Consider the following 25,441-nt stretch of genomic DNA (forward strand, 5'->3'; position numbering starts at 1 on the left):
CTTCAATAGTCTCACGCCACTGATGCCCAGAGGCTGTGGTCTCAGAGACAGCCCCTCGCACTAAAGAATAATGCAGGCCCATTTGAAATCCCCATAGTCACCTCCAAATACATCAAGCGCCCATGATTCACTCCATCTTTTGTTTCTGCTGCTGAAATACAAATGTGCGTCTAACCTTTTTCTCCTCGCTTCTTCTTTGTTCTATCAATATGGTCCTTGAGTTGAATGCGGACCTGTCGCTCATTAGGTTGGTCTCGTATAAATGGATGCTTCATCAATTGTTCTGTTGCTGGTCGCTGGCTGTGATTCTTTACCAAGCAGCTCTCAATAAATGACTGGAATTTTTTTGACCTGCCAAACAAAAGAAATGAATCCACAGATAAAACGGCGATCCAAAGAAAAGCAAATGTGTAATTTCTGAAATGCTGGGACTTTTTCTTTTTTTAAGGTCCAATTGGCTGGCATAGGGATCATCCACTAATCAGAAAACAGTTGTAGCACTATATTAGGCATAATGGGTTCAAAGGCATCATCATCATCAACGTGCAATTGAGGTAGCAGAAGGTAGTTATGCACATGAAAGCATTTTTGCACAATTTATATGTAACATTACATAGCAGACCAAAAGGACGCAGGGAAGAAAAAGACCCCTATGGGAATCACATCTAGAAGGGCTATTGGAATAAGGAAACCATAGCTGGGCCTTTAAAAATTAGGAGAAAATCACTCTGGGGAAAGGATAGTTCAGATATGTAGGATGACAGTGAAAAACTCAGGCTAGGATGAGAATAATGTATGTTGGGGGACACTGAGGTGAGCCACTTAAATAAGGCAGAAGATGCAAGCTGGAGGAAAGTAAAACCAAGGTTGGATAGGTAACAGGGAGTGCATTTCGTAGAAATGAGCAAGATTTTTATATGATGAAGTGAACTTTGATTAGGCAAACTTTGTAACCAGTAGTTTCAGAATCACTTTTGAACGCTGCTTTCCAAGGAATAAGAACATATAAGTATATGTGTACCTTTGTCGTTAACTCAAGGACTTAGACATTTAACTTTAAAGAATTAAGTTCACACCCAGATGCAAATTTATCTTCCTCTAGAAAGGCAATATTTCCTCAAAGATAAACCCCACGCCAGAGACCTGGCAGGGGAGAGCTGGCGAGAGATACCATACCTACGATTATGGCAGTAAGGCCACAATGTGGCAGAAATTAATGGTGGACTTCAGCCGTGATTCATGAGTTAAGCACGCATGTTCTTGCTGAAAGTTCCAAGAAATTGTTCAGAGTCATCAATAATTAAGCTTATGACTCTATAGCATGCTTTTCCAAGGCACTCCAGGAGACCTTGATGAAACTCGGGTCACCCTTCCTGTCCTGCCCAGAGCAGGAATGATCTGTTTTGTGCTCTCTGTTGCTCTCCTGTGGTGCACAGGGGAGATACAGGAGTGGATCCCAGGACTGAGCCTTTGCCCGGCAGTCCCTGCATACATACTCTCCAGGCCTGAGAGGTGCCCTCACCACACAGAACACAATGGAGAGCATGTTCTTCAACACTCAAACATGACAGGGCACTTTTGTATGCACCACTCTCTAGTGCTGCCCTGGTCAAAGCAGTTTTTCACTTTATTCCATGTTTTTAAAGTACTGAATCACTGGTATTTTTTTTTTCCGCTCTAAATTTCTAAGCTACATTCAAGCTTTTAAAATATTTTACCTAGAAATAAAGGTAGCCTACTGTGCTTGGGGTTGCCCCAGGATGAATCAGCGTTGGCCACACTGTGGACTAGAAATAGTGACAGCAGGACACTCTGTGCACCTCCTTGTTAAGTGCTTCCATGCATATCCTTGCTTCTTCCCACTGAAAATCATCAGCAGCATCAACGTGCCTGAGCCATCTTTGCATCATGAGCACACTACCTGAGCTGTGTGTTTGGTGCATGAGTGAATGCGTGATGAAGGTTCTGGACAAGAGCTGCAATATGGCCACCTTCAAGTCTGCACTTTTGAGGGACAGAAAGGGAGGTTTGGAGAGCGGATATTCTTCTCTTTCTCAGATCAATCAAATAAATCTGTGGAGGCATAAATATGATCTCATCTAAGAAGAAACCTTGCCAGAAAAATGTAATGAAATAAAGGACACTCCTAAGGAATGAATTGAAGAGAATGAGGCTGACCTGCATGAAGATATAAACAAACTCCATACAGTACTTTTCCAGGTAGAAAAATCAGTATTAAAAAGATGAAAACAAAAATTAAGACAGAAAGGTATGAAATATTTATAAGGAATATAAATGGCAGTTCTCTTTTTCTTGCTGGCAACTAGAAGGAAGTGCTTATTTTATTATCATTATTTTTTTTTTTTTAGATGGAGTCTTGCTCTGTCACCCAGGCTGGAGTGCAATGGCATGATCTCAGCTCACTGCAACCTCTGCCTCTCACGTTCAAGTGATTCTCCTGCCTCAGCCTCCTGAGTAGCTGGGACTACAGGTGTATGACACCACACCTGGATAATTTTTGTATTTTTAGTAGAGACAGGGTTTTGCCATGTTGACCAGGCTGGTCTCAAACTCCTGACCTCAGATGATTCGCCTACCTCAGCCTCCCAAAGTGCTGGTATTACAGGCATGGGCCACCGCACCTGCCAGAAGTGCTTTTTTTTATAAAGTACTCAACCAACTATTAATTAGAGGTTGATAAATAAAAGAAATCACATTCAATTTAAAAGTAAGATCCAGATTTAATAGACTGTACAGTCTATTCCCTGATATTGGCATCTAAAATAACAGTCAGAGAAATCTCCAGATCTCCAGAATGGAATAGTGTTCAAGTTTAATGAAATTAGTTATTAAACAGAGTACTTTTTCCCAGTATGCCTTGCTGGGAGAAAAAACTCAGAGATATTCAAGAGAATAACTTTGGGCCTAAAAGATGGGCCCACTTGTGCAGAACTACAAAGCTGGTAATATATTTCATATCTTCTTCAAGTGGCACCCTTTGAAGAGAAAATAATGTTTACTTAAAATGAGTCTTCAAAGAAGGATTCGTAGTGTCTTAAGTTAGCATGACCAAAGAATCAATATGCTTAATTACACACTTATTTAAGAGTGAAAACACTTCACCTATGTTGAATATTACCTCACTGTTTGCTGAGTGTTCTAATGAGTTTAAAGTACATTTATATAACTTTATTGCTTGAATCTCTGCTGATAGTAATGTAGTTCTGTCTCTTATAAAATAAAAACACCTAAGGTTAGTAAAACTGATTTCCCAAGGGTTGGCATGGAGAAATAAATGGTAATGATTGGTACCTACAGTCTGATAATACTAGTTCTACTATCAGAGTCACTAAATACTTTATCTTCCCAGATTGAACCTGTTTATATGTTAAATTGTGTTGGGGGAATTCAAAATGCTGGAAAGATTGTTACATTAGCTATTATAATCAGTTGGGTTAAAAGTTTTTGGTAATCATCAGACTCCCTAAACGCAATTTGGCCTAAAATTTGCATTGGCCCTGCCCTATTTCCAAAAGCTACCCTCTTCCTTTACTTTGAGTTGCATCACTTACTAACTTGGACAAATTACTTAACTTCTATGTGTCTCAGTTTCCCTGGCTGCATTCAATGGGGATATTATTAGTACTTATCTCAAAAAAAGTTATGATAAGTGAATTAATTCATGTAAAATATTGAGAACAGTGCCTGGTATCATAAATGCCACATATGTGTTTGCTATTATGATGATGATGACTATGATGACATTGCCCCCAGCAATCTCTGAGCATCATTGGACTTAAGGAACACAGCATCCGCCTTTAGGACTTAGGAGCAGAAATCCCCACTTCTGGCCAGGTGCGGTAGTTCACACCTATAATCCCAGTGCTTTGGGAGGCTGAGATGGATGGATTGCTTGAGGCCAGGAGTTCGAGACCAGCCTGGGCAATATAGCAAGACGGTCTCTTTATAAACAATAGAAAAAAGTAGCTGAGCATGGTGGCATGCACCTGTAGTTCTAGCCACTGGGGAGGCTGAGGTGGGAGGATCATTTGAGCCCAGGAGTTTGAGGCTGCAGTGAGCTATGATTGCACCACTGTACACTAGCCTGGGTGACAGAATGAGACTCTGTCTCTAAAAAAAAAGAAATCCTCATTTCTGTTGAACTAAGTAAACATAGAGTTCTTTAAGGGAATTATTTCACGTATGGGTTAAATAGCTTAGCAGGAGGAGTCAACTGGGCTGTTATCTCCAAGAAGCCTGCACAAACAGGTTAATTTTTAAAGTCTGTGTAATAGTTTTTAGCTGGATTTTAATAAAGTCCAAAGTTCAAAGTCACATTACTACTAGAATATTCAGTCTAGTAGAAGGAATTTCTGATACACACACACGAACTTTGTCCTATCTCAAAAGTCTGACAACCCACCAAGAATCAGAACTGGTGCCTCATAAAATAACGGGGGTGATTTTTAGCCTTGGAGCAAAAGCAGGAGGCTGGGTCCAGGCTGGTTCTCCCAGTAAGGAGGCTAGAACTCGTGCAAATACACCACTTAGCCTCACTGGGCCTGCACACCTGCATCTGAAGCATGAGTGGCTTGGACCAGTGGAGCTTGTACATATAAGCAGTTATGATTTTTCTAATGACCTCAACTGAGTGCTGCTTTGCCTGTGTGGGCTCTTCAAATTTAAAGGGCACATGAAAGATTCACTGTCTTATACTTAATGGAGCCATTCCTATCCTTCTCCAGAAAGTCCTGGAGGGAAGCAGTGACACTGAGTATACTTGCGAGGGCAGGTGAGTGTGGATGAGCAGGGTGGCAAGAGAAGGTAGGAGAAAATCTTTTGAAGGAGATGGTTTACCCCTGCGAGTGGAATCTACGCACGCACAAGAGACAGGAAGAGAGAATGGGTATCCCAGTCTTGCTTTTCACTTGCTGGTGCTGATATGGAGGTAGAGGGTGAGAGTATCTTTGGTTTCCTCTGATTCCACAAAGGTTACAACCCTCCCAGACAACTTATTATTAAATGGCTGAGCTGCCTGAACATTCAGTGGTGCCCTAACTTCATCATCCCATACCACAAAGGCCTCTCCTCATCATACCAATAGGGAAGGAAGAACTGGGCTCCTGTGAGTGGTGGTGGTCTCCTTTCCCTCCACGATGACAGTGGAAAGAGCAGTGCCACTGCCTTTATTTCTCAAATCTTGAAGGTACAAGTTAAAAAACAAAAAAAAAGTTCACACTAAGAGACCAGTTTATGCCTTGTATGTTGTAGACTCAGTCATGTTGAAAATGATGCTTTATTGAATGTTTGCCATGAGAAGAGTTCATGGCCCTGTCTCAACAATGGCGCCCCCTTTGGTCAGGTGTTGATATATACACTGAGAACAAGGCATTTAACCCGGTAACTCATTTAGGTAGAGAATAGCTGGAAATAAAAGAATGTTTTGGAATTTTGTCTCTTGGTCGGGGGAGGGAGTCTTTTCCTCTTAAATAATTAAAATAAAAAACATAAACAAAATGTTTCATTTCCTCTCAAACACTAGAGTCTATTAAAGTAAACCCTAACTTACTTCAAATCACTTTGGACCTGCGCTTTCAAGATAAAATACTCTGAAGTGTTTAAATATTTTCACTTAAAAACTGGTGGAATTGTATTGCAGAGAAATGGGAGCCATGTCTGCTGTCAAGTATCATGTGCCTGGAGGCTGCACCACCACCTCTACAAAGGCTGGGATCGAAGTGTGAAATGGCACATTATCAGGGCTTTTGTTTCCCCGGTCTCTCTCTAGCAATCAGGTTACTTTTCCTTTCCCTGTCTGACAATATGGGACTTGTTCCCATAGCTTTCCTACTCAGTTTTCCTTACACATCAGGGAAAGGTGTGCAAGGTGGCAGGATGAGATGAAATTGGCCTGGACTTCTCAGTGTTTCCAAACTTCTCCTGCTCCCTCCAGCATTATTAAAATTAGTTGTTGTCAAAGGTTTGAAGCCGAAAAATCAGACTGCATTGTCCTAAAAGTTTGTATTTCTCAAACAAGGTCAGCACACCGTTGATCTTTTTTGGGTCTCAGTCGGTGAAAACTGACACTGTAGGGCAAGGGCTGTTCACTCACTTTTCTGTGGGGTCAGGTAGGTCACAAAAAGGGGTGGTGTAGACCATGGTTAAGATGAAAACAGGAGATGTGGCCAGGCGCGGTGGCTCACGCCTGTAATCCCAGCACTTTGGGAGGCCGAGGCGGGCGGATCATGAGGTCAGGAGATCAAGACCATCCTGGCCAACACGGTGAAACCCTGTCTCTACTAAAAAAAAAAAAAAAAATACAAAAAATTAGCAGGGCATGGTGGCGGGCGCCTGTAGTCCTAGCTACTCAGGAGACTGAGGCAGGAGAATGGCGTGAACCCGGGAGGCAGAGCTTGCAGTGAGCCGAGATCGTGCCACTGCACTCCAGCCTGGGCGACAGAGCGAGACTCCGTCTCAAAAAAAAAAAAAAAGAAAAGAAAAGAAAAGAAAACAGGAGATGTATACTAACCAACTGACACCAGCTTCTGAGTTGGGGGGAGGTGGCAGCTGGAGGAGAAGGACAATCACTTGTCCTAAATGGGAGCAGCAGCTAGCATCTTTGCAGGCAGTTCACTGCATCTTTGCAAGAAAAAGGCCAGAAATCTAAATGTAATGCTCAATTGACAGATTTTTAAGTGTTGCCAATTAATACACATATTTTTAAAACAGGGTATATGACCATAGTGTGACAGCCAAATACATTTGTGGAGGGCCAGTTTGTCCTCCTCTGTGGAAAAGCTCAGAATACGTGTCCTGCAGCAGTAAAGGGAGACAAGGAGAAGATAGGGCAGGGAACAGGGTAAGTAAAGCCCACTGTATACACCAGACTCAGCTCAGATATCAAGCAGGAACCTAGCAGAGGGCTTTGTAGTGTCACTGTCACTTCCAGGGAAGAGAACTGCGCCAGTCCCTCTCCCCGGGAGTCTGATCCAGGGAGAAGAGAGGAAGCAGGGTGTTGGGGTGCTTTGCCGATCACATGATGTATGACACCCAATGGGAGGGCTGTTGCTGGGGAGAGAAGGGTTGTCTTGCACCACAATGACCCTCTGCAGAGGAAGGAGGAGCAGGGAACGCTCTGCCTCCTTGTTACCAATAGCAACTCTCACTCCCCTCGCAGGGCCCGGCAATTCTGAGGCTGCCATCTCTTTTCTGGCTGTTTCCTTCCCTCTTTCTGTGCAGTGTGCCCTTTCCTCTGTTCCACCAGGGTGGCTCTCATTAGTAGATGACTGGTGGTAATTAAGGCTGCCCCCTGTATGGTAGAGGTGAGCCTGTGTGTGGGTGGGTGGGAAACATGAGGACCCCAGTCAAGCGCCTGATCATGAAGGGCTATGGAAAGGGGCAGAAGGATCCTGTCCCTCATGGTCTCACTGCCCAGGACTTATCTCTAGAAAAAGGATAGGAGGTCACAAATAGTGCAGGAATTGACCTCAGACCATGAGTAATCCGAGATTCAAGAATGTATCAGGGAGGATACACCATTTCCATAGGAAGAAAGGAGGAAGCAATGAATTTTGGTTATGGAATAATAAGATAGGAAGATCCCAACTATATAATTATCCCCAAAAAGTCAAACATCCAACATCTGGCTTAACCTGTAGAACTGTTTCCCAAATGTCAGTCAGTCATATCCTATCAACATAATTTTTGCCGTACCCTCACACCACTCATACTAGTATTCATGTAGTAGTTTCCTTTAAATTAAGCCACTGTTTTATGTAAGTTTATCAAAAGGAAAAGTTAAATCGCTGCCCCAAATAAGAAGCCAGTATCACCTGCCATATGTGAAAACAGTAGTAAAAACAAAAAAACTGCAAATGCTCATACACGAGCCAGAGAAATAATCTCAAACATTACCTGGTATGTATATGCACTTAGGGAATGATTGTTGTAAGGAATAGAAGAGAAATCAGCCAATCTAACAGGCTGACTCTCTAAACTATCACCCTCTCTGATAAGCTGTTCTGTGCTGCCAGGAAAGATATGACTTGGAGTTATAGATCAAAGAGCTTTCATGTTATTACTTGGCTTCACTTACCCATTTTGGCTAATAATTTCTTACCTTAAAGGTGGGGGAATAAAGACCTGCTGTACAAACAGTAGATACTCAATATATACTTTAAGATGAATGACAGCATATGGAAAGTAATTCACCAAGTCATCATACATGTTAGTCTCATTCTATCAGCAGGACCTAGGGATTAGAGCTAATCCAAAATAGAATCACAAGAAAACCTCACCCTTAGATCTGCGAAACATCGAAGACCAAACTCACCACTTCTTAGACTTCAGCCGAGGCGCTGGGTTCCGGGGGATGAGGAAGAGAGCTCTCATGGGGTGCATGTCACAGAGAGCTGCAAGAGACCAAAACAAGGGCCAGCTACAGTTAGGAGGCCAAACCCAGGCCAAGCCCGTCTTGGCTGTGCAGATAATGGCTGCCCAATGACCCACTCAGTTTACACACCACCAGTGAGCACAAAGTCAGAATATCCAAATGCTTCTGAGCATTTGAAAGATCCAATATCCACTTACAGGAGTCTCATAAAATACAACATGGTTCACATAGCTACTGCTAACATTTCTAGTGAATACATGTTTACTTCATATTTAAGGAAACTAAGTTAAAGGGTCAACAACCAGCCATCCTTGCTGTGAATGACCACCTGACATTTAAAGTAAATACCATCAGATGACAACTACAATGGAGATGGTAAGCTATTTTTAATTAGTAAAAGCCTAAGCCATAAATAAAAGGCATTTCATTATCCCGTCTATTTCTTACACGTCGACAGCTCATCCAAATGCAATTGTTATCTACACAGATTTTTGGAGTCCAAAACACCAGCCCCAGAGCCCCATTTTCTCTGTTTCCAGATATCCCGAATGGCTTTTCAGGTTTCGTAACGGGTTTTGTTTCATTTTGTTTTTAAATTCACTGGCCCCAGGAAGCCCAGAGGATTAAGTCACACAGAGTCTGGCAGAAAAACAAAGTTATAAAAAGATCTCATCTTGTAAACATGACATTATCGTTTATAGTGAAAGCACTCATATGTTCTTATTTTAATAAAATATTTTATTAGTTTACTTTTCAAACATCTGGGAGAATTTCTACTTTGTAGCTAGAATAAGAATATATGCTCCCTAAAAGCCAAAGGATTCTGTGGGCAGAAGTTTATTTTTAGCCCTGTCTACCACTCATCAAGAATGATAATATGGTTTAAGACTGCAATATATTATTTTTCTGATTCACACATGCCTATTAGCATTGTGAATGAGGGCAATTTTGTCAACCAGCACTCCAAATCAATCATGCTACAGATGAGTTCTACCAATTCTAGACTGGGAAGTAAGAAAACGATGACAACCCGAAGGTAAAAGTCATAAGTATAATGACCTGTCGTGCAAATAAAGGGCCTATTTTTGTCCTAGTCCTTTGAGATGCAGACACCAAGGATATTACTGGGTAAATTACTATGTGAATGGAAACAGGGAAGGAGCCAGGCAGTATGGGAAGTCATCAGATTGCTATGCAAGTCTGACCCTGAGTGAAGGAGAGAGGGAGAAAAGGTAGGTGGAAGGGTCCCAGCCTGTCCTGCAGGTCTTGTAAAGTCATAGGGGATTACTTGGGTGAAAGTTGCCTACAAAGGAATCTTGTGTCCTCCAGGAAAGGGCCTGCCTTAGTATCCCCACTGTGCTAGGTCACTGGCGGGGAGTGGCCCTTGAAAGGTGCGGCCTGCTGCCATTGCAGCAGCTGGGGCTGACAATCAGTTACACTTCCTATATGGAAGTCTGTGAGGCACAGTCTCATGACAGAGACTCTCTGCTGGGGCCAATACTCCAAATCTCAAGGAACTGAGATTCTCAAGACTGCTGGAGCCCTAGCCACTCTGTCTCAAATAGCAGGGAAATCTAAAATTTTAAACATCAGTATTTTAAGAGGAGTGATAGCCATTGAGTGGAGTCTTTGTATAACCTGTGCACTGAAAATTAATTTTGGATTTTCATACATTGGAGTTTATAGTCTTGTGAGTTGGTCACAGTTTTATGTCAGGTGAGGAGTAGTCCAAGAATAAATGATGTACAGAATCTGTAAAACAAACAAGACTCCCCAAAGTATGCTTTCTTTTTCTTCCTTTTTTTTTTTTCTAATAAAAACAGGATTCTCCCACTGCTCTGAAATGAATGGATTCCTGGTTGATTTAAGATGACTCTGCTTTCTAAATATGCCAGCTTGAATCCATGCAGGGCTCGGTGTAGTGGAAGTAAAGCAACTGCAGCTCCTGGCAAGGAAACTTCAGTACCTGCAGAGCAGACCAGCAACAGATTTCACCCCAGAGGAGGGTACTTACGGGGAGCACCTTCTGCCATTTCAATGGCGGTGATACCCAAAGACCACAAGTCACTCTGAAAAAGAAGGGGCAGACACACACATAAATTCAGTCAACAAAGGACAACTTGGTTAAACCTGGTAATTGCTTCAGAACTTCCTGTGAAAGTCATTCAGTTTTCTGTTTACAAACCTATTTCTTCCACTAACCTTCAAAGCAGAAACAGTCTTACTTTTCATTGACAGTACCACTCATGGTGTCTGGCACATGGCAGCTTATCAATAAATGTATGAAAAATGAATATAAACAATTTTAAATTAATTCGTTACTGAAACTTATCTGTGGGTTGAACCATAGGAAATTGCTGCTATTTGACTGTTTATAACACCATCATTGAGCTATAATTGTCATATAATAAACTGTACCTAAAGTACACCATTTGATAAGGTATGACGTAGGGATCCTCCTGTGAACACATCATCACAGTCAAAACAGTAAACATACCCATCATCCCCCAAAGATCTCATTTGCCTCCTTCCTTTCCTGCCTGAACCCATCCCCACTCTCCTGTCCCTAGGCAACCAATGATCTGCTTTCTGTCACTATGAATTAGTTTGTAACTTCCAAAGTTTTGTATAAGTGAAATCACATCATATGTGGTCTTATGTATTCGATCTGTTTCACGTAGAATAGTGTTTCTGAAGTCCACCCATGTTGTAGTACATATCAGTATCTCACTCCTTTTTATTGTTGTGTAGTATTCCATTCTATGGACATATCACTGTTTTTGCATTTGGACTGTTTCTAGTTTGGGCTATTACAGATACAGGTGCTGCAAACATTGGTGTACAAATCCGAGGGTGTATGCTTTTATTTCTTTTAGTTAAATACCTGAGAGTGGAATGGCTGGATCAGATAGTAGGTGTTATTTATATTCAATTGGTTTAACTAGAAAAACAGCAATTTCATATGGTTTTACCTAATAAGATGAGGACAGGGAGACTTTTTGATGATGGCATTCACTGATGTCTCTCTTGTGCTTAGATCAGAGTTGGGCACAGTAGGAGGTACTCAAAGTATTTGTTGAAAAGATAAACAATTATTGCCTATTTTGTGAGTAGACTAGTATGTAACAATAGAGGCCAGTATACCTTTATATTATTTCTTATGCTCAGAGTGACTTTTATTCTCTGAACAGAATTTTCTAGGCTAATGCCTCCATTTCTACCTGTACAATCTCCATCTCTAACAATATTCTCCTCCCATACTCTGTCTGTGGCTCAGTAGTCTCTAAATATTGCATGAGAGGGGGAATATCAAGAGATGGGGAAAACCTGGTTAGAAAACACCAAGAAGAGGCTTGCTGCCTCAGTTTCACAGCAGATTGGTAAGAAAATCTAGTATCAAATTTGGTTCAATGGCCCACATCCTAATATAGATATTTCATTTTAAATACCTCATGCATTTTGTACATTTTTCAAAATTGTCTCAGATTAGAGTGATCAAAGGTAAGTTTCCTTGCTATTGCCATCAAACAAATGTCAAGGCCACATGAAAAAGAGATGTAACTGGAAGAGAGCTTCATAAAATTCATAACCTTCATGCTGAGTCACTCCCCAGAACTAAGTTTCTCAATATCCTGTGAAATGACACTCAGGGCTCTTCAGTAATTGGGCAGAGGTCTGCACAATGTGGAGGGGGTTTTCTAGGGGGTCTAGCCTCTTGCCTAAAGTGCAGTCTACCTGAGAGCAGGTGGCTGGGGCACATGTGTAACCTCACACTAGGAGCAAGGGGGATTCTTTCAATGTTACCAGTTCTCAGTTCAACTGGGAATAGCAATGCACCTTCACAACACCATCATTCTAAGACTCCAAGGAACTCTCTGCATACAACACAACTCACAAAGTCAACTCTTGTCCCTTCTCTTTGTTATGTTTCAAGATGTACACAAAGATTTTCATTAAACGCAATCTGCACCCCGTGTTTCTCTGGCCTAGCAAGTGACTGAGTCTCCCAGAGGCTCTTGGCCTCGCTTAGTGAGGTTATTTCCGGAGCTGATGGGGATGGCTCAACCCATCTATTACAAGTTGGCTCAGGAGCAATAACTGGTAAAGACAAAAACGCAGTTCTATTGTACCTGGGTTTTTTGTTTTTTTTTTTTCTTTGAGACGGAGTCTCGCTCTGTCGCCCAGGCTGGAGTGCAGTGGTGCAATCTTGGCTCACTGCAAGCTCCGCCTCCTGGGTTCACGCCATTCTCCTGCCTCAGCCTCCCGAGTAGCTGGGACTACAGGTGCCTGCCACCATGCCCGGCTAATTTTTTGTGTTTTTAGTAGAGACGGGTTTCACAGTGTTAGTCAGGATGGTCTTGATCTCCTGACCTCGTGATCCACCTGCCTCAGCCTCCCAAAGTGCTGGGATTACAGGCATGAGCCACCGTGCCCGGCCTGTACCTGGGGTTTTATGGTTGATAGACAAAGATAATCATTTCGGAACATGAGAGAAACACTGAATCATTTGCTGTTCAGGAGGCTTTAAACAGGAAACACAGCAATAATAGTCTGGAAATGGTGGGTTGGCTCTTAAGGTCCCTGTGCTATTTTGATAAGACTCTAGTATCTCCAGACCTTGGTAGTTCTACCACCATTTTACCCAAATCCCTAGGAACTGAGAGTTTCTATAGCGTGAAATAAGACACAAGTAAGAAGGTGGCAGCCAGGCTCTATGGCCCTAACTGCAACAGAAGGGTCCAATTTAAATGGCTTTCAAGTCCAGAAAGCTTTGAGCTGGGTTGAAAACCAATACATGTGAAAGAAAATGATGGTTCTGGGGTAAGAAGAACTCAAGGCCAGGCCTCAGGTCAGGAAGAAGGAAAATGCTCGAAGGCCCAGCCTTTGGATCTTGACTCAAGCTGTTACCTCTTCCTGCAGCACCTCAGCAGTGATGTGCTAGCTGACTCCCTCACCTCCCCAAAGCCTGCTCAACCCCTGTGTTCTCAACGAGGACCCCTGGGACCTCCCCCCAGCACTGCTCATGCCCCTTCCCCATATTTGTCCCCCACAGAACTAACCACCTCTAACATACGACATGTTTATTCATCACTAATTTACCATGTTTTGTGTTGATTGCTTGTGCCCTTTACCTCTAACACACATACATAAGAACCTAAGAGCCACAGGGCAAGGATCTTTGTTCTGTTGTCTGATGTATCCAAAGTACCTAGAACTGCTCCTGGCACACAGTAGGCCCTTAATAAATATTTATTGAATGAATGAACAAATGAAAGATACATGAGAGAACGTAGCAAAACCTAAGTGTTCTAGGGCTAGTAGACTCTTTGCAGATCACCTAGCCAAACCTTTCACTTCACAAATGAGGGAACATGACTTACCCAAGATCAAAGAGCAACTTAGCAGCTGGTTTTAAACTGAGCTGGGTCTTCTGCTTCCTAGGCCAGTTCTCTTTTAACTAGCATCACAATCTAAGGACTTGAGTATTCACCATTTTTCCCCTTATCATTTTTGTTATCAAAATGCATTTTTAATCCATAAAATAATTACTTCAGATTCCTACTTTGTCCATAGGTGACTGAAGGTGCTGGCAACTCAATAAAGGTACTGAGATTCAGTGAGGTACTCCAGTTTCATGCTATAAAACTCGCCTCAATTTCCCAATGGCAACATGGATTGGTAGAAAGAAAGAAACAGGTATTGATTGATTGATTGAGATGAGGTTTCACTATGTGGCTCAGGCTGGTCTTGAACTCCTGGGCTCAAGCAATCCTCCCACCTCGGGTTCTCAAAGTGTTGGGATTATGGGCATGAGCCACTACACCCAGCTGAGAATAGGCTTTTAAGACAGGCAGATCCGAATTCAAATAGAGGTTTCCAATTTAGCTACATGCAGACTGTTGCTCAGAGCTTAGCTTTCTCAATTGCACAATGGAAATAACCGTGGCATGCATGTATTGATCAGGTATGCTGCTAGCACAAAATCTGGCACAGAGTAGGGCTCAAGAATATTGATTTCCTTCTTCTCCACTGTCAGGTGACACTGCCTTTGCCTGCCCAACTTAGTCTTCTATGATTTCCCTTCATTTAGTTGTGGCAGAAATTGTTTATTGGCTAACCCAATGGTCATTTTCAACCCTCATTTTTGTTGCTGCTTCCATTTCAGAGTATAGCAAAGCCACACTTGCCTATCCTGACTCCCCGACAGCTAAGGATGGCAGTTAGGGATGTGACATAGTTTTCTCCAATGAGACATAAGCAAACATCTTCTGGGAGCTTCTGCTTTTCCTGAAATAAGGGACAAATATAGCTAGTGTCTTGCTAACTTTTTCCCACTTCTTAGTGCCTTGAATAAAAATATGATATCTGGAGCTACAGCATCCATCTTGCAACCATGAGTTATTGCCAACAGACTAATGATGCCAGCACAGAAAGCTAGGAGCTTCGGTTTCTGAAGGTATCAGTGAAGCATCACATGAACCCTGAACTGCCTACCTCTAGATTTCTGGTGACATAAGAAACGTAAGTACAGACAAAAGCATTCCTAAGTGATAATACACATACAGCAGTAATTTGAAGAACATACTTTGACAGTAAGGAAATGGAGAGGTCTCATTTGTTAGGTAATCCTGGATTTATTCCACAGGAAGCAAGAAGGTTTAGGGAAAAAATATGTACTTTATTTAGTACACATCACCTCAGAATCCCTCTTGGGCAGCCTTTCCCTAAGCCACCAGAACACCCCTTTCAAACCAAAGGTCATATCACCACAAATACCTGTGCATACTCTGCTAAGTCACATGACCTAGTCAATTCTGCTGCTTCCTTAAGCCTTCATTTGATATCATTGTTAGGATTTTTTTTTTTTTTTTTTTTTTTTTTTTGGCTGGGGTTCTCTTGTTTTCCAAAAGGAACATTTATATTCCTGGTCATATATATCCAAAGTTGCTTGTAAGCTACACTCAACTGCCCATGCTAGAAAGCCATAAATGTCCTTGACAGGCCTTGTTTAGCCGTTGGATACATTAGCGAGTCCCAAAGACACTTCAGAACTTAAGTAAAGGAGAAAATGCTCCAATTACCACTGGCAAGACAGATCACAGGAGACAAGCAAGGGAAGATGGAAGAACAAGATGAGGAAAGAGTCAGAAAGAGATAAGTTTCGTTCATGGCCATGGTGTGACTCATTTTGGCAGAAGCTGGATAATTCATTATTCCAGAGGTGTTGTGCAGCCTAGCCTGTGGCATGATTAATACCCTAGCGCTATGTGCATTACAAACAGAAGAGAGACAAATTCTAGTGCCTTTGGGAAGGCAGAGGCAAGACAGAACTTTTGGCTGCTGGAAAGGGTGGGAGTGGGGAACAGCTGATACACAAGCAACTTGAACAGAACAAGAAAGCATTCCTTCTGGGGCTGGGCTGCTCAACACAGTGAAGAAAAGCAACACGTTTAGATGTCTGAACCAGCCACAGAAGAATGAGAGGCTGTGTGGCACAAGACAAGAACCCCAATGTGCACCATGAGGTAGAAGGTGCCTATGGTCTGCAGCCAGACCCAACTGTGACACAACTAACAACTCTGAGCCCATGAAAAGAACTGCAACAGGAAAAGAACACATGTCTTGCAGGACTGGTAAGAGAATTCAATAAGGAAGAATATGCAAAAAGTGCCTAATATACAATGCAGTACATGCTGCATTGGGTATTCAACGAATGTGGGTACAGATAGACCCTTAGGACCAGATATCATCAACTGGCAGTTCAACCAGCAAACCAGAGTCAGGTAAGATGACAGGGAGCTCTGGTACTCAGTGGTGGTCAAAGAGGTCACAGGGACCATGCAGGCATAAACAAGAAGCTTACAGGAAGCAAACAGGAAAACGTGTGTCCTCCTTCCTCCTCCAGACTTGATCTCCCGTTCTCTATTGCTCCCTGCTGGCAGAGCCTGATAAGAAGTCAGATGGACAAACAGAAGGGAGGACAGCTGACTCCTAGCTCCATTATCACAAAGCAGAGAGCAGCACGGCAGTCCACAGTTGACAGACAATAGCTTAATAATGGGCACAGCCAGCATACTGTATCACAGAGCAGAAAATCGTCTTTTGTTGGGTAACTTATTTGTGACTAGTTTATTCTTTTGAAATGTTCCAGGTGGGAAAAAGAAATTGATGCATTGTGTGTATGGTCCCTAGGGACAACATCTTAATTGAGTGGTAAAAGTTATAGAGAAGCAGATTCTGGCTCAACGTAAGCAGACAGAGGTGTGTAACACAAATATGAGGTTGAACCGTATGAAACTGTTGCCTTTTAGGGGTAAAAAATGGCCCCCACCGGGTCCAGTGGCTCACGCTTGTAATCCCAGCACTTTGGGAGGCCAAGGTGGGCAGATCACGAGGTCAGGAGATCAAGACCAGCCTGGCCAACACAGTGAAACCCTGTCTCTACTAAAAACACAAAAATTCACTGGGCGTGGTGGCGGGCGCCTGTAATCCCAGCTACTCAGGAGGCTGAGGCAGGAGAATCGCTTGAACCCAGGAGGCAGAGGTTGCAGTGAGCCGAGATCGTGCCACTGCATTCCAGTCTAGGTGACAAGAGGTAGACTCCGTCTTAAAAAAAAAAAAAAAAAAAAAAGGCCCCAAATAGCAATACTTCCATATGATAACATAAACACAAAACTATCTATAATATATATACTAAGTACTATATATTGAGTACTTACCAAGTGGTGGACACTGTATTAATCCCTTTATATATATTCTCACTTTATTCTATTATAACCTCCGAATAAACAATTTATTATTCCCATTTTATGCAGGTTTACAAAAAGTTAAATAACTCCCCTGAGTTAATTTGCAAATAGGAGGCAAAGTCTAAACTGGTCCTGTCTGACTTCAAAGGACTGACTCTTATTAATTATGTTATATATTTATATATTATGTTATCTAGATACAGAACTTAGGTGGTGAGTTAGGGTCACTGAAGTGGAGATAGTTATTAATAATCCCATTTCACACATAAAACAAACTGAGGACAGAAATCTTTAGTTTTTTGTCCATTTTCACTTGTTATGTGACCAAAGGGAAAATATTAGAATAGCTCACTCTCTTCCCCTGGGTATCAGCATGTTGCGTGGAGGAGGTACTGGCTGCGTTTCACTAAGGAATCCTTTATAGGTGGGTGTGAACAGAGAGCCACAGAAATATGTTGAATAGGAGTTTCAGTTTCCTGTTGGTGACACTAACATGCTATCTGGGTCATCTTCCTTCTGATCGAATAGGGAAGGACCTTTGTTTGAATCTCAGTAGACAGAGGCCACGACTTGTTTGAGAGTGTAAATGCATCATTCTGCAATCTGAATATTGTCCTCTCAGGTGACACCCTGCACGGCGGAAACTCTACCACTAGTTAGGTTGCTCACTTCATTTCCAACTGAAACTCTTACTTAGAAGAAGTATTTCCACCCTGCCTGAATAATGCCAATTATCTGTGACACAGGGGAAAAGAGTACTTTTTCTCTACAACCAGAGCACAATATTCACCCAAACGCTGGAGGAGACACCCATGTCTGCAAATAATCTGCAGCACCCATATGAAAGTCTCATAAACAGAGTTTAGGCAAATAATAAACAACATTGGCACAGATCAGGCCTGAGGACAGGAATCTGGTGGGGAGTGGGATAAGGGGGTAAGCCATTTCACTGTGCATCTCTTACTTCATTGGCTTCATATAAGAGCAAGGCCTGTTTATGGCAAAAAACATAACAGGACAGAAAGATATAGAAAATAAAAATTGTAAGTTTTCCATCCACATGCCCTATTCAAAAGTAAATACTATTAAGTTTTTCCAGGTTCTTTATAGATTTCCCGTGTGTGTGTGTGTGTGTGTGTGTGTGTGTGTGTGTGTCTATGGGGTGGGAGGGGTGAATAAGACTACATTATGTGTACTATACTGTGGCATTCAGCCACAGAAATTTCTTAGTGGGTGGTTCTGTTAAAGTAATAAATACACAGGACTATAAAATGCTTAGCAGATCCCATCCAACCAAAATGAAATTCAAAGTAGGTTAAAAAAATAACAATTTAAACAGCCTAGGCATTTTGAACAGTTTTATTAATTTCAAATCTTTTGAATGCTTATTATTAAACGGGAAAGCTTTCATTATTGCCCCACATACTTATCAGGGAAATGAAACCTTTCCTTTCACTTGAAGTGTTTTGACAGAATTTCTGAAAACAAGAAAGGAAGGGCCTCCAGGGGAAAGCCAGCACACCCGGCAAATGAGATTCTGGCACTCCTCCTTAGGAGAGGGTCTATTTTCAGTGAGTTACTTACTGTGCCCAGTAGATATCACACAAAACCAGACTCTGCAATAAAAAGCTACAGAAGACCTTATACGTTGAGTTACTTTAGGTTTTGTAAAAAGTTATAGTGGTCTTTAAAGACATCTTAGACACATCAAAAAATAATTGATAAACAATAAATCAAATAACAAAACTAAGCTATACTCTTTTTCTTTTTCTTCTTGTCTTTATTTTACAGAAAGGACTTTTGTGGTAAGAAATCTAATAAAGTCCGGTGGCCAAGTCATCCTTTATTCTAAATACACACTCTCGGCTGAAAGTGGCTATAGCACATGAGGGCCCAAAGTGTTGACATCAAGCTTCTGGGGCTGGGATACACCACTGGGCCAAGTGGACCACCAAACACACAGTGAAATCCTCGGGCTTTGATGGGGTCTCAAATGAACCTTCTATCAGAAACTGCATGTACAGATACAGCTTGACTAACTCCTTATACACAATGGATAGTCTATAAATATGCACTGAGTGAATGAATAAATGATTTTGAAAGTCAGCATATTGTCAAGTTGTCCCCTGGTGACAGGTTACATTCCTAAGGATACTGAACAGAAAAGGGGATGATATATGGTGCCAAGAAAGAAGTAGTAAGGTTATTTAAAGATCAGCATCTTCTCTGGCCCACAGTAAAACTGTATAAGTGGATTAAATAAATCTGCAAAGAATCCCCAAACCTTCCACTATACCCCAACAGGGTATGGCTTGGTTTTGTTATTTATTATTTACTATTTGATTTGTCTAAGATGTCTTTGAAGACCACTATGAATTTTTTTAAAAACCTAAAATAATTCAATATTATAAAGTCCTCTGTAGAAAAGTCTTCCTTATTCATTCTTTTGTCATCCTCCTCTTTTTACCCATGGCATATAACCAGTGAAGCTCATATCCCTGCCATGACTTTTTCCTCCTCTTGCACAACCTACATTCCTGACAATCCTGTTAAACTAATTTGCACTAAGGTCTAAATGACTGACACCATTGAACCTATTCTATCAGGATTCTTTATTTTTTAAAAAAACACACAGACATTCATCTTCAATCTTTTTAATGTCTCAGGATACTTTTATAGCCAGGTGAGCCTTCCAGTACCTCTGAAATCACTGTGCAGCATGACGACCTCTGTGGCTACTCATACAACAGGATTTGCCCATACCTAGAGTTATGCACTGGTCTCACACCATTTACAGTGATCTTAAACTATACTCCTTAGCCATAATCTGAGGAAAGAGGACCAAAATATCAGTTTAATTCCAAGCTTTGGCTTGGCCAGAAGGAAAGCCTCTTCTAGATACCCTACTGAAAACAAGTCAGTTGTAGGCACCCACTTTATTTACATAACAAAAGTCCCATATATAGTGCAGTCAGTCACAATACTTAAAAGATTAAGCTGAGGTTGTAAGAGCTGCAAACGCTGTTTCCCCATGCTATGTTACATAGTAATCTAGAATATCTGTGGCCCAGATGTAGACTAGTTAGCACTTGTTAGGTATAACTATGGTTTGAAGAATTGCTTGTAGCTAATCATGATACCCATATCTGGCCTGGGATGTATATTTTGTAGTGGCTTCTCTGAAGGGATTTGCAAACAGAATTATTTAAATATGCTTATCATTAGCAGTTTAAAAAAATGACATTTTGGCAGGAGATTAATTTTTAACTTGGCAGCTGTTTTCAGACAGATTGTTGTCAGGTTATTACAGTGACTAACTTTGAAGGAAGGAGGAAATTTATGGGAGATTATTAGGTTTTCAGACCTTCAAGCTTGCAATTCCCAAAAGAGGCAAATTTTCTGTCAACACTGAGATACGGGGCCTCAAAAACGCTGCAATGTTTGCATCTTTGAGACCTGATTTCAATAATAACCCCACATGTCGAGAACTAAAAATATTCCTTAAAAGTGAAATATTCTTCAAATATACTGTTCAATTGATAAATTGGAGATTTATATGGAAGTACATTACAGAGGAGCAAGGTAATATATTGGAAAGGGCTCTGAACAGAAAGTTTGGAGACCTGCATTCAAGTGCTAACTCTGAGAGGATTGCTAACCCGGTGAGCACCTGCAGACCTCGGCCTCAGTTTCTTCATCTGTTAGATAAGAGTATTTACAGAGGATCATTAAAGTGTTTTGGTGAAAAGTCCATGCACCTCTGAAACCAGCCCAAGCAGATCAAGTTTTGCCCAAGTTGTCCTGTAATGTACACAAAGACCACAGGGTGTCTCTCTACCTAATGCACAGCCTGGAAACCCACACACAGTTCCTAGATCCCATTGCCCCTAATTTTATTGCCTTGACTTTCAGTCACCATTCATTAGAAAGCCGTGTCACCTGAAAGTCCAGACAATAAACCTGAGGGGCAATAATGCAAAATTATGTTTGGTTATTGGCTAGCAGAATAGAAAAGAGAAGGGCTTCTTGGAGAAATCTATTTGAACACAGCTTTGAATGTATTAGCAAATTTCTAGTTTATAATATAAAGTAACAAGTCACAAATCAAATTTCTATGAAACATCAGGCCACACGACAGAAATACCATAAAGTAGTCACCAATATTCCATCTGATTCCCTCTCATGAAAAAGAAACCCCAGATAATTATACTTCGAGCATTGTAGAAGTAAGTCAGATTATTCTCAATCAGAAAAAGATGACCCAAGACAACAAACTCACATCTTAGTTTAACGTAAAAAGCTATCAGAATATATACTCTTCCAAAAATCTAAACCATAACCAAAATGGAAATCCAATCTATTTTCCAATAATAAGAAGCAAGAGTAAATTTAAAAAAATATAGAAAATGATTTAAACTTTTTATTTATTTTTTTATTTTTTACAAACAGGCCATCAGATAAGATGGGTGAATTCATTAAAAAGATCCTCACTTGAATGTCTTACAGGTCTTAAACTCAAATAATGTTTTTCAGTTCTCCCTTTGGGTGACATAAATCATAAATATAAGGGCATGTAAGACTTTATAAGACTCAGGATAAGATGGTAGGCATAGTTTTGAAACACGACAAAGAAGCCATACCTTGAAATCATATGTGGCATCTGGGTTTTCATCACAGGCAATAACTTCTGGTGCCATCCAGTAGGGAGTTCCAATGAAAGTATTCCTCCTGCCCACTGTTCGATCAAGCTGAGCACTGACTCCAAAGTCCACTATTTAAGAAAAGACAAGTAAATAAAGTCTGTGATCATAGGTTTTAGATAGCGATAAAATGAATGTGAATTATTTTATTGTGGTAAAACATAAGTAACATAAAGTGTACAATTTTGACCATTTTCAAATGTACATTTCTGGGGCACTAAGCACATCCACACTGTTGTGCAACCTTCACCACTGTCCATCTCCAGAATTTCTCATCTTCCCCAGCTGAAACTTTGTACCTATTAAACAATAGCTCCCAATTCCCCCTTGCCCCAACCCCTGGCAATTATTCTACTTTCCATCTCTATAAATTTGACTATTCTCACTACCTTGTATAAGTGGAATCATACAGTATTTGTCTTTTTGTGACTGGCTTATTTCAGTTAGCATAATATCATCAAGGTTCATCCACGTTGCAGCATGTGTTAGAATTTCCTTCCTTCTCAAGGTTGAATAATATTCCATTGTGTGTATGGACCACATTTTGTTTATCTGTTCACCTGTTGATGGGCACCTGGGTTGCTTCTACCTTTTCTATATTGTGAATATGTTTTTAAACTGCATGAGAAATGGATGAAGTGTACCCATGAGGAAGGCACAAAGAATTACATTTGATTACACCAAGGCTTCACAGGGACCAAAAATAGGTGTTAAAAAAAAGTAAGCTTGGTTGTCAGAAAGGGTAGTATTTTGGGGATACAAGACAAGTGATTAAAAGCAAAAGTCTGAGTCAGACTGCCTAAGTTTGTATCTCATTTCTGCCGCTACTAGTGGTATGACCTAGGGCTAGTAGATCAACCTCTCTGAGCTTCGGTTTCCTAATCTGTAAAATGAGGATGATGACATCTACACAGAGTTGCTCTGATGTTTATGAGAGATAATCTATAGAAAATTGTCTTGTACAGGGCCTGGCATATAATATATACTCAACAAGTAACTGTTAATTAGTGAAGTAAGAATGCTCTCAGGATAGCTTATCTAGTTGATACATATATAACTGCTTAGCCTACATAATGTATACTTTTGTTTTTAAAAGAGAATATTCATGAGGTGAGAAAGTTTGGTCCCAAATGTTAACTAAGAAAAAAAATGGAAGTCATATATTTCAACAAAAAGGAAGAGCAAATGTTTGGGATATAAACATAGAAGATGTTTAAATCTCTTTGAAAATATACAATCATATGGACAGCGATTCTTTTCTAGATGACAAGTTACATATCCTACTGGATATTTGTCAATTCATGCTCTTACTCATATACATCAAGCAGTCAAATGCATGTGGTAATTCTCTATTTGGGCAGTCCCAGATTTGTTGCGGAAAGAGCTCTAACAGATACGCCAAAGAGAAGGATTCTCCCACTGATGGAAGTGGGGGTAATCAGTATGCACCTAAAGTAGAATATTAAGTATCCACTTTGCACGGGAGCCCAAGGTAATAACAAAATCAATGTAAATATAACTTAAACCTATGGGAATATAGCAGGAATTGATTATTCTGAATATGCCTGTGTATATTTTAATGGAAAAAAATTGGGTCCTAGTGCTCTGTTATAGCAGCAACAGTATAAACAAACTGTAAGATATAGGAGGCCATTTCAAAGTTTGTCACTTCTAATCTCTGCTGAAACAAAAAAATCTCAATTATTTCTATATATTGATTAAGCAAGTGGTTCTGTTCCCACATTATATATAATTCATTCCTCAGAATGCCTTGAGAAAATATTTTTTAAAATAGGCAAAGAAACATTTTCCTTTCCATTTTTAGGGCAATGCTCTCCAAATCCACGGTGACAAATTAACATTAATTTTTTTAGAGCTGTTAATATAATCTCATCACTTCCTGCAATTCCAAGGCTCACAGGATTCTGCTCTTACCTAGTTTAACTTCTGCATTTTCAGTCAGCAAGACATTTTGCCCTTTAATATCTCGATGAATCACTTTATGCTGGTGCAGGTGACTCAGCCCCTGGAGTGATGGAGAGTTAAGAAGGGTTAATAGGAACATAAGCCAAGATGCCAATAAATTATTTTGACTGTTAAGGATCCAAAAACTTTACACTCACCCAGACATACTTTTCAGAATTATAATCACATCTTTCATGTGCTCATAGTGCTCTTCTAACTGTAGGCAATTCATCAATATAAATTAAAGTACCCAGGCAGTCCTTGCAATGCATGGTGCTGTGTTTAATGAAATGCTTGCATATTGGATCTGATTATCAGGTATCAGGGAACCACACAAGTAATTATACGGTTCCAACATGAACATGAGTTTCAGTTAATACTACTGTGAAAAGCGAAGTTTAAACAGTTTAAAATAGAACCATCTACACAGTCTCTGTACAGAAAACTAACCTGATTTAACTGAATCCCTGCAGGATATTTGAATTTAAAAGTTAAAATTTACATTCTGTTATCCAATTTCATTGAATGATTGATTGACTGAGACAGAGCCTTACTCTGTCGCCCAGGCTGGAGTGCAATGGCGTGGTCTGGGCTCACTGCAACCTCTGTGTCTTGGATTCAAGCGACTGCCTCAGCCTCCAGAGTAGCTGGGATTACAGGTGCCTGCCACCACGCCAGGCTAATTTATTTTAGTACAGACAGGGTTTCACCATGTTGGCCAGGCTGGTCTTGAACTCCTGACCTCAGGTGATCCATTCACTTCGGCCTCCCAAAGTGCTGGGAATCCAGGTGTGAGCCACAGCACCCGGCCTTGTTATACAATTTTAATTAAGCGAAGTAAAATATTTCTCAGACCAGCCAAGAAATTTCCCATTGGCTTTACCCATTGTGCCTTACATTTAAAAAGGAATACAGTTTCTATTTCTTTTGTTGGCATTCATCACTGTCATTTTTAGTTTATGCTAGTTTATGCTATTTGTGACTTTGTGCTCATTATGTGAGAATTATTCAGTGACAACTAAACCTGTTTGTGTTCCATTTCTTCATGAATTACTCTGTTTTTGGCTTCTTTGTGGTGTGAATTCTTTAACCTACAGACTTACTCTAAAGTAGTCATATATTTTTCAGATAAATTATAATCTAAAATAATCTAAAAATGGAGTCTTAAAGCAAATTATTTTATGCTAACACCTGATAATTCAATGTATCGGGTCCCCGAGTGTTCTTTATTACCTTTAATTTTTTGTGCTTTTCATCTTCTCCACAACAACAAAATCATGGTATGAAAAATGAGGTTGACAGGAAAAGAAACAAACCTAGATATCTGAATTCTCTTGTCAAAGAAATTCAGCATGAGAGTACAGAGGTCCAAAAAGACCCACATATACATTTAGAGATATCAGAAAACATAAACCATGTTATAGAAGGGTTTGAGGCACTGGTTTAGGTCTTAAAAAATTGCCTTTCTTATCTGTTCAGTTTGTCACAGGGTAGGCATCAGGGGTTTAAATGTGTGGTTTTCACAAAATTTATGTACCCCATAAATCCTTAAGAGAGGGACTGAAGATCCCTTTCCCTCTTTCACTACTGAAGTGGTTGAAAGCAGATACCAGAGCATGGAAGTGAGCCAAAAG

The 25,441-nt window shown here is 40.7% G+C and overlaps 1 protein-coding gene across 8 annotated transcripts in view, besides 3 other annotated features; it reads right to left on the reverse strand.

Moving 5' to 3' along the window:
• The window catches only part of TNIK (TRAF2 and NCK interacting kinase), a 401,995-nt gene that overhangs the window by 108,506 nt on the left and 268,048 nt on the right, over nt 1-25,441 (reverse strand). For all 8 annotated transcript variants that reach the window (NM_001161566.3, NM_001161565.3, NM_001161562.3 and 5 more), the window contains exons 6-10: nt 23,778-23,868; nt 21,783-21,913; nt 10,407-10,461; nt 8,333-8,411; nt 176-351 (exon numbers count right to left, since the gene is read on the reverse strand). In NM_001161566.3, coding sequence (NP_001155038.1) covers nt 176-351; nt 8,333-8,411; nt 10,407-10,461; nt 21,783-21,913; nt 23,778-23,868 — 532 coding nt within the window. The remainder of the gene's footprint in view (nt 1-175; nt 352-8,332; nt 8,412-10,406; nt 10,462-21,782; nt 21,914-23,777; nt 23,869-25,441) is intronic.
• Nucleotides 7,156-7,225: a silencer, noted in NCBI's record as "silent region_14890". NCBI's record gives its function as "represses an Ori minimal core promoter by ATAC-STARR-seq in GM12878 lymphoblastoid cells {active_cell/tissue: GM12878}" and the evidence as "EXISTENCE:reporter gene assay evidence [ECO:0000049][PMID:35858748]".
• Nucleotides 19,834-20,361: an enhancer, noted in NCBI's record as "NANOG hESC enhancer chr3:170904542-170905069 (GRCh37/hg19 assembly coordinates)". NCBI's record gives its function as "activates a minimal SCP1, AML or CMV promoter by ChIP-STARR-seq in naive H9 embryonic stem cells {active_cell/tissue: H9 hESC(naive)}" and the evidence as "EXISTENCE:reporter gene assay evidence [ECO:0000049][PMID:30033119]".
• Nucleotides 22,771-22,820: an enhancer, noted in NCBI's record as "active region_20808". NCBI's record gives its function as "activates an Ori minimal core promoter by ATAC-STARR-seq in GM12878 lymphoblastoid cells {active_cell/tissue: GM12878}" and the evidence as "EXISTENCE:reporter gene assay evidence [ECO:0000049][PMID:35858748]".

Source organism: Homo sapiens, chromosome 3, assembly GCF_000001405.40.
Source record: "Homo sapiens chromosome 3, GRCh38.p14 Primary Assembly".
NCBI lineage: Eukaryota > Metazoa > Chordata > Mammalia > Primates > Hominidae > Homo > Homo sapiens.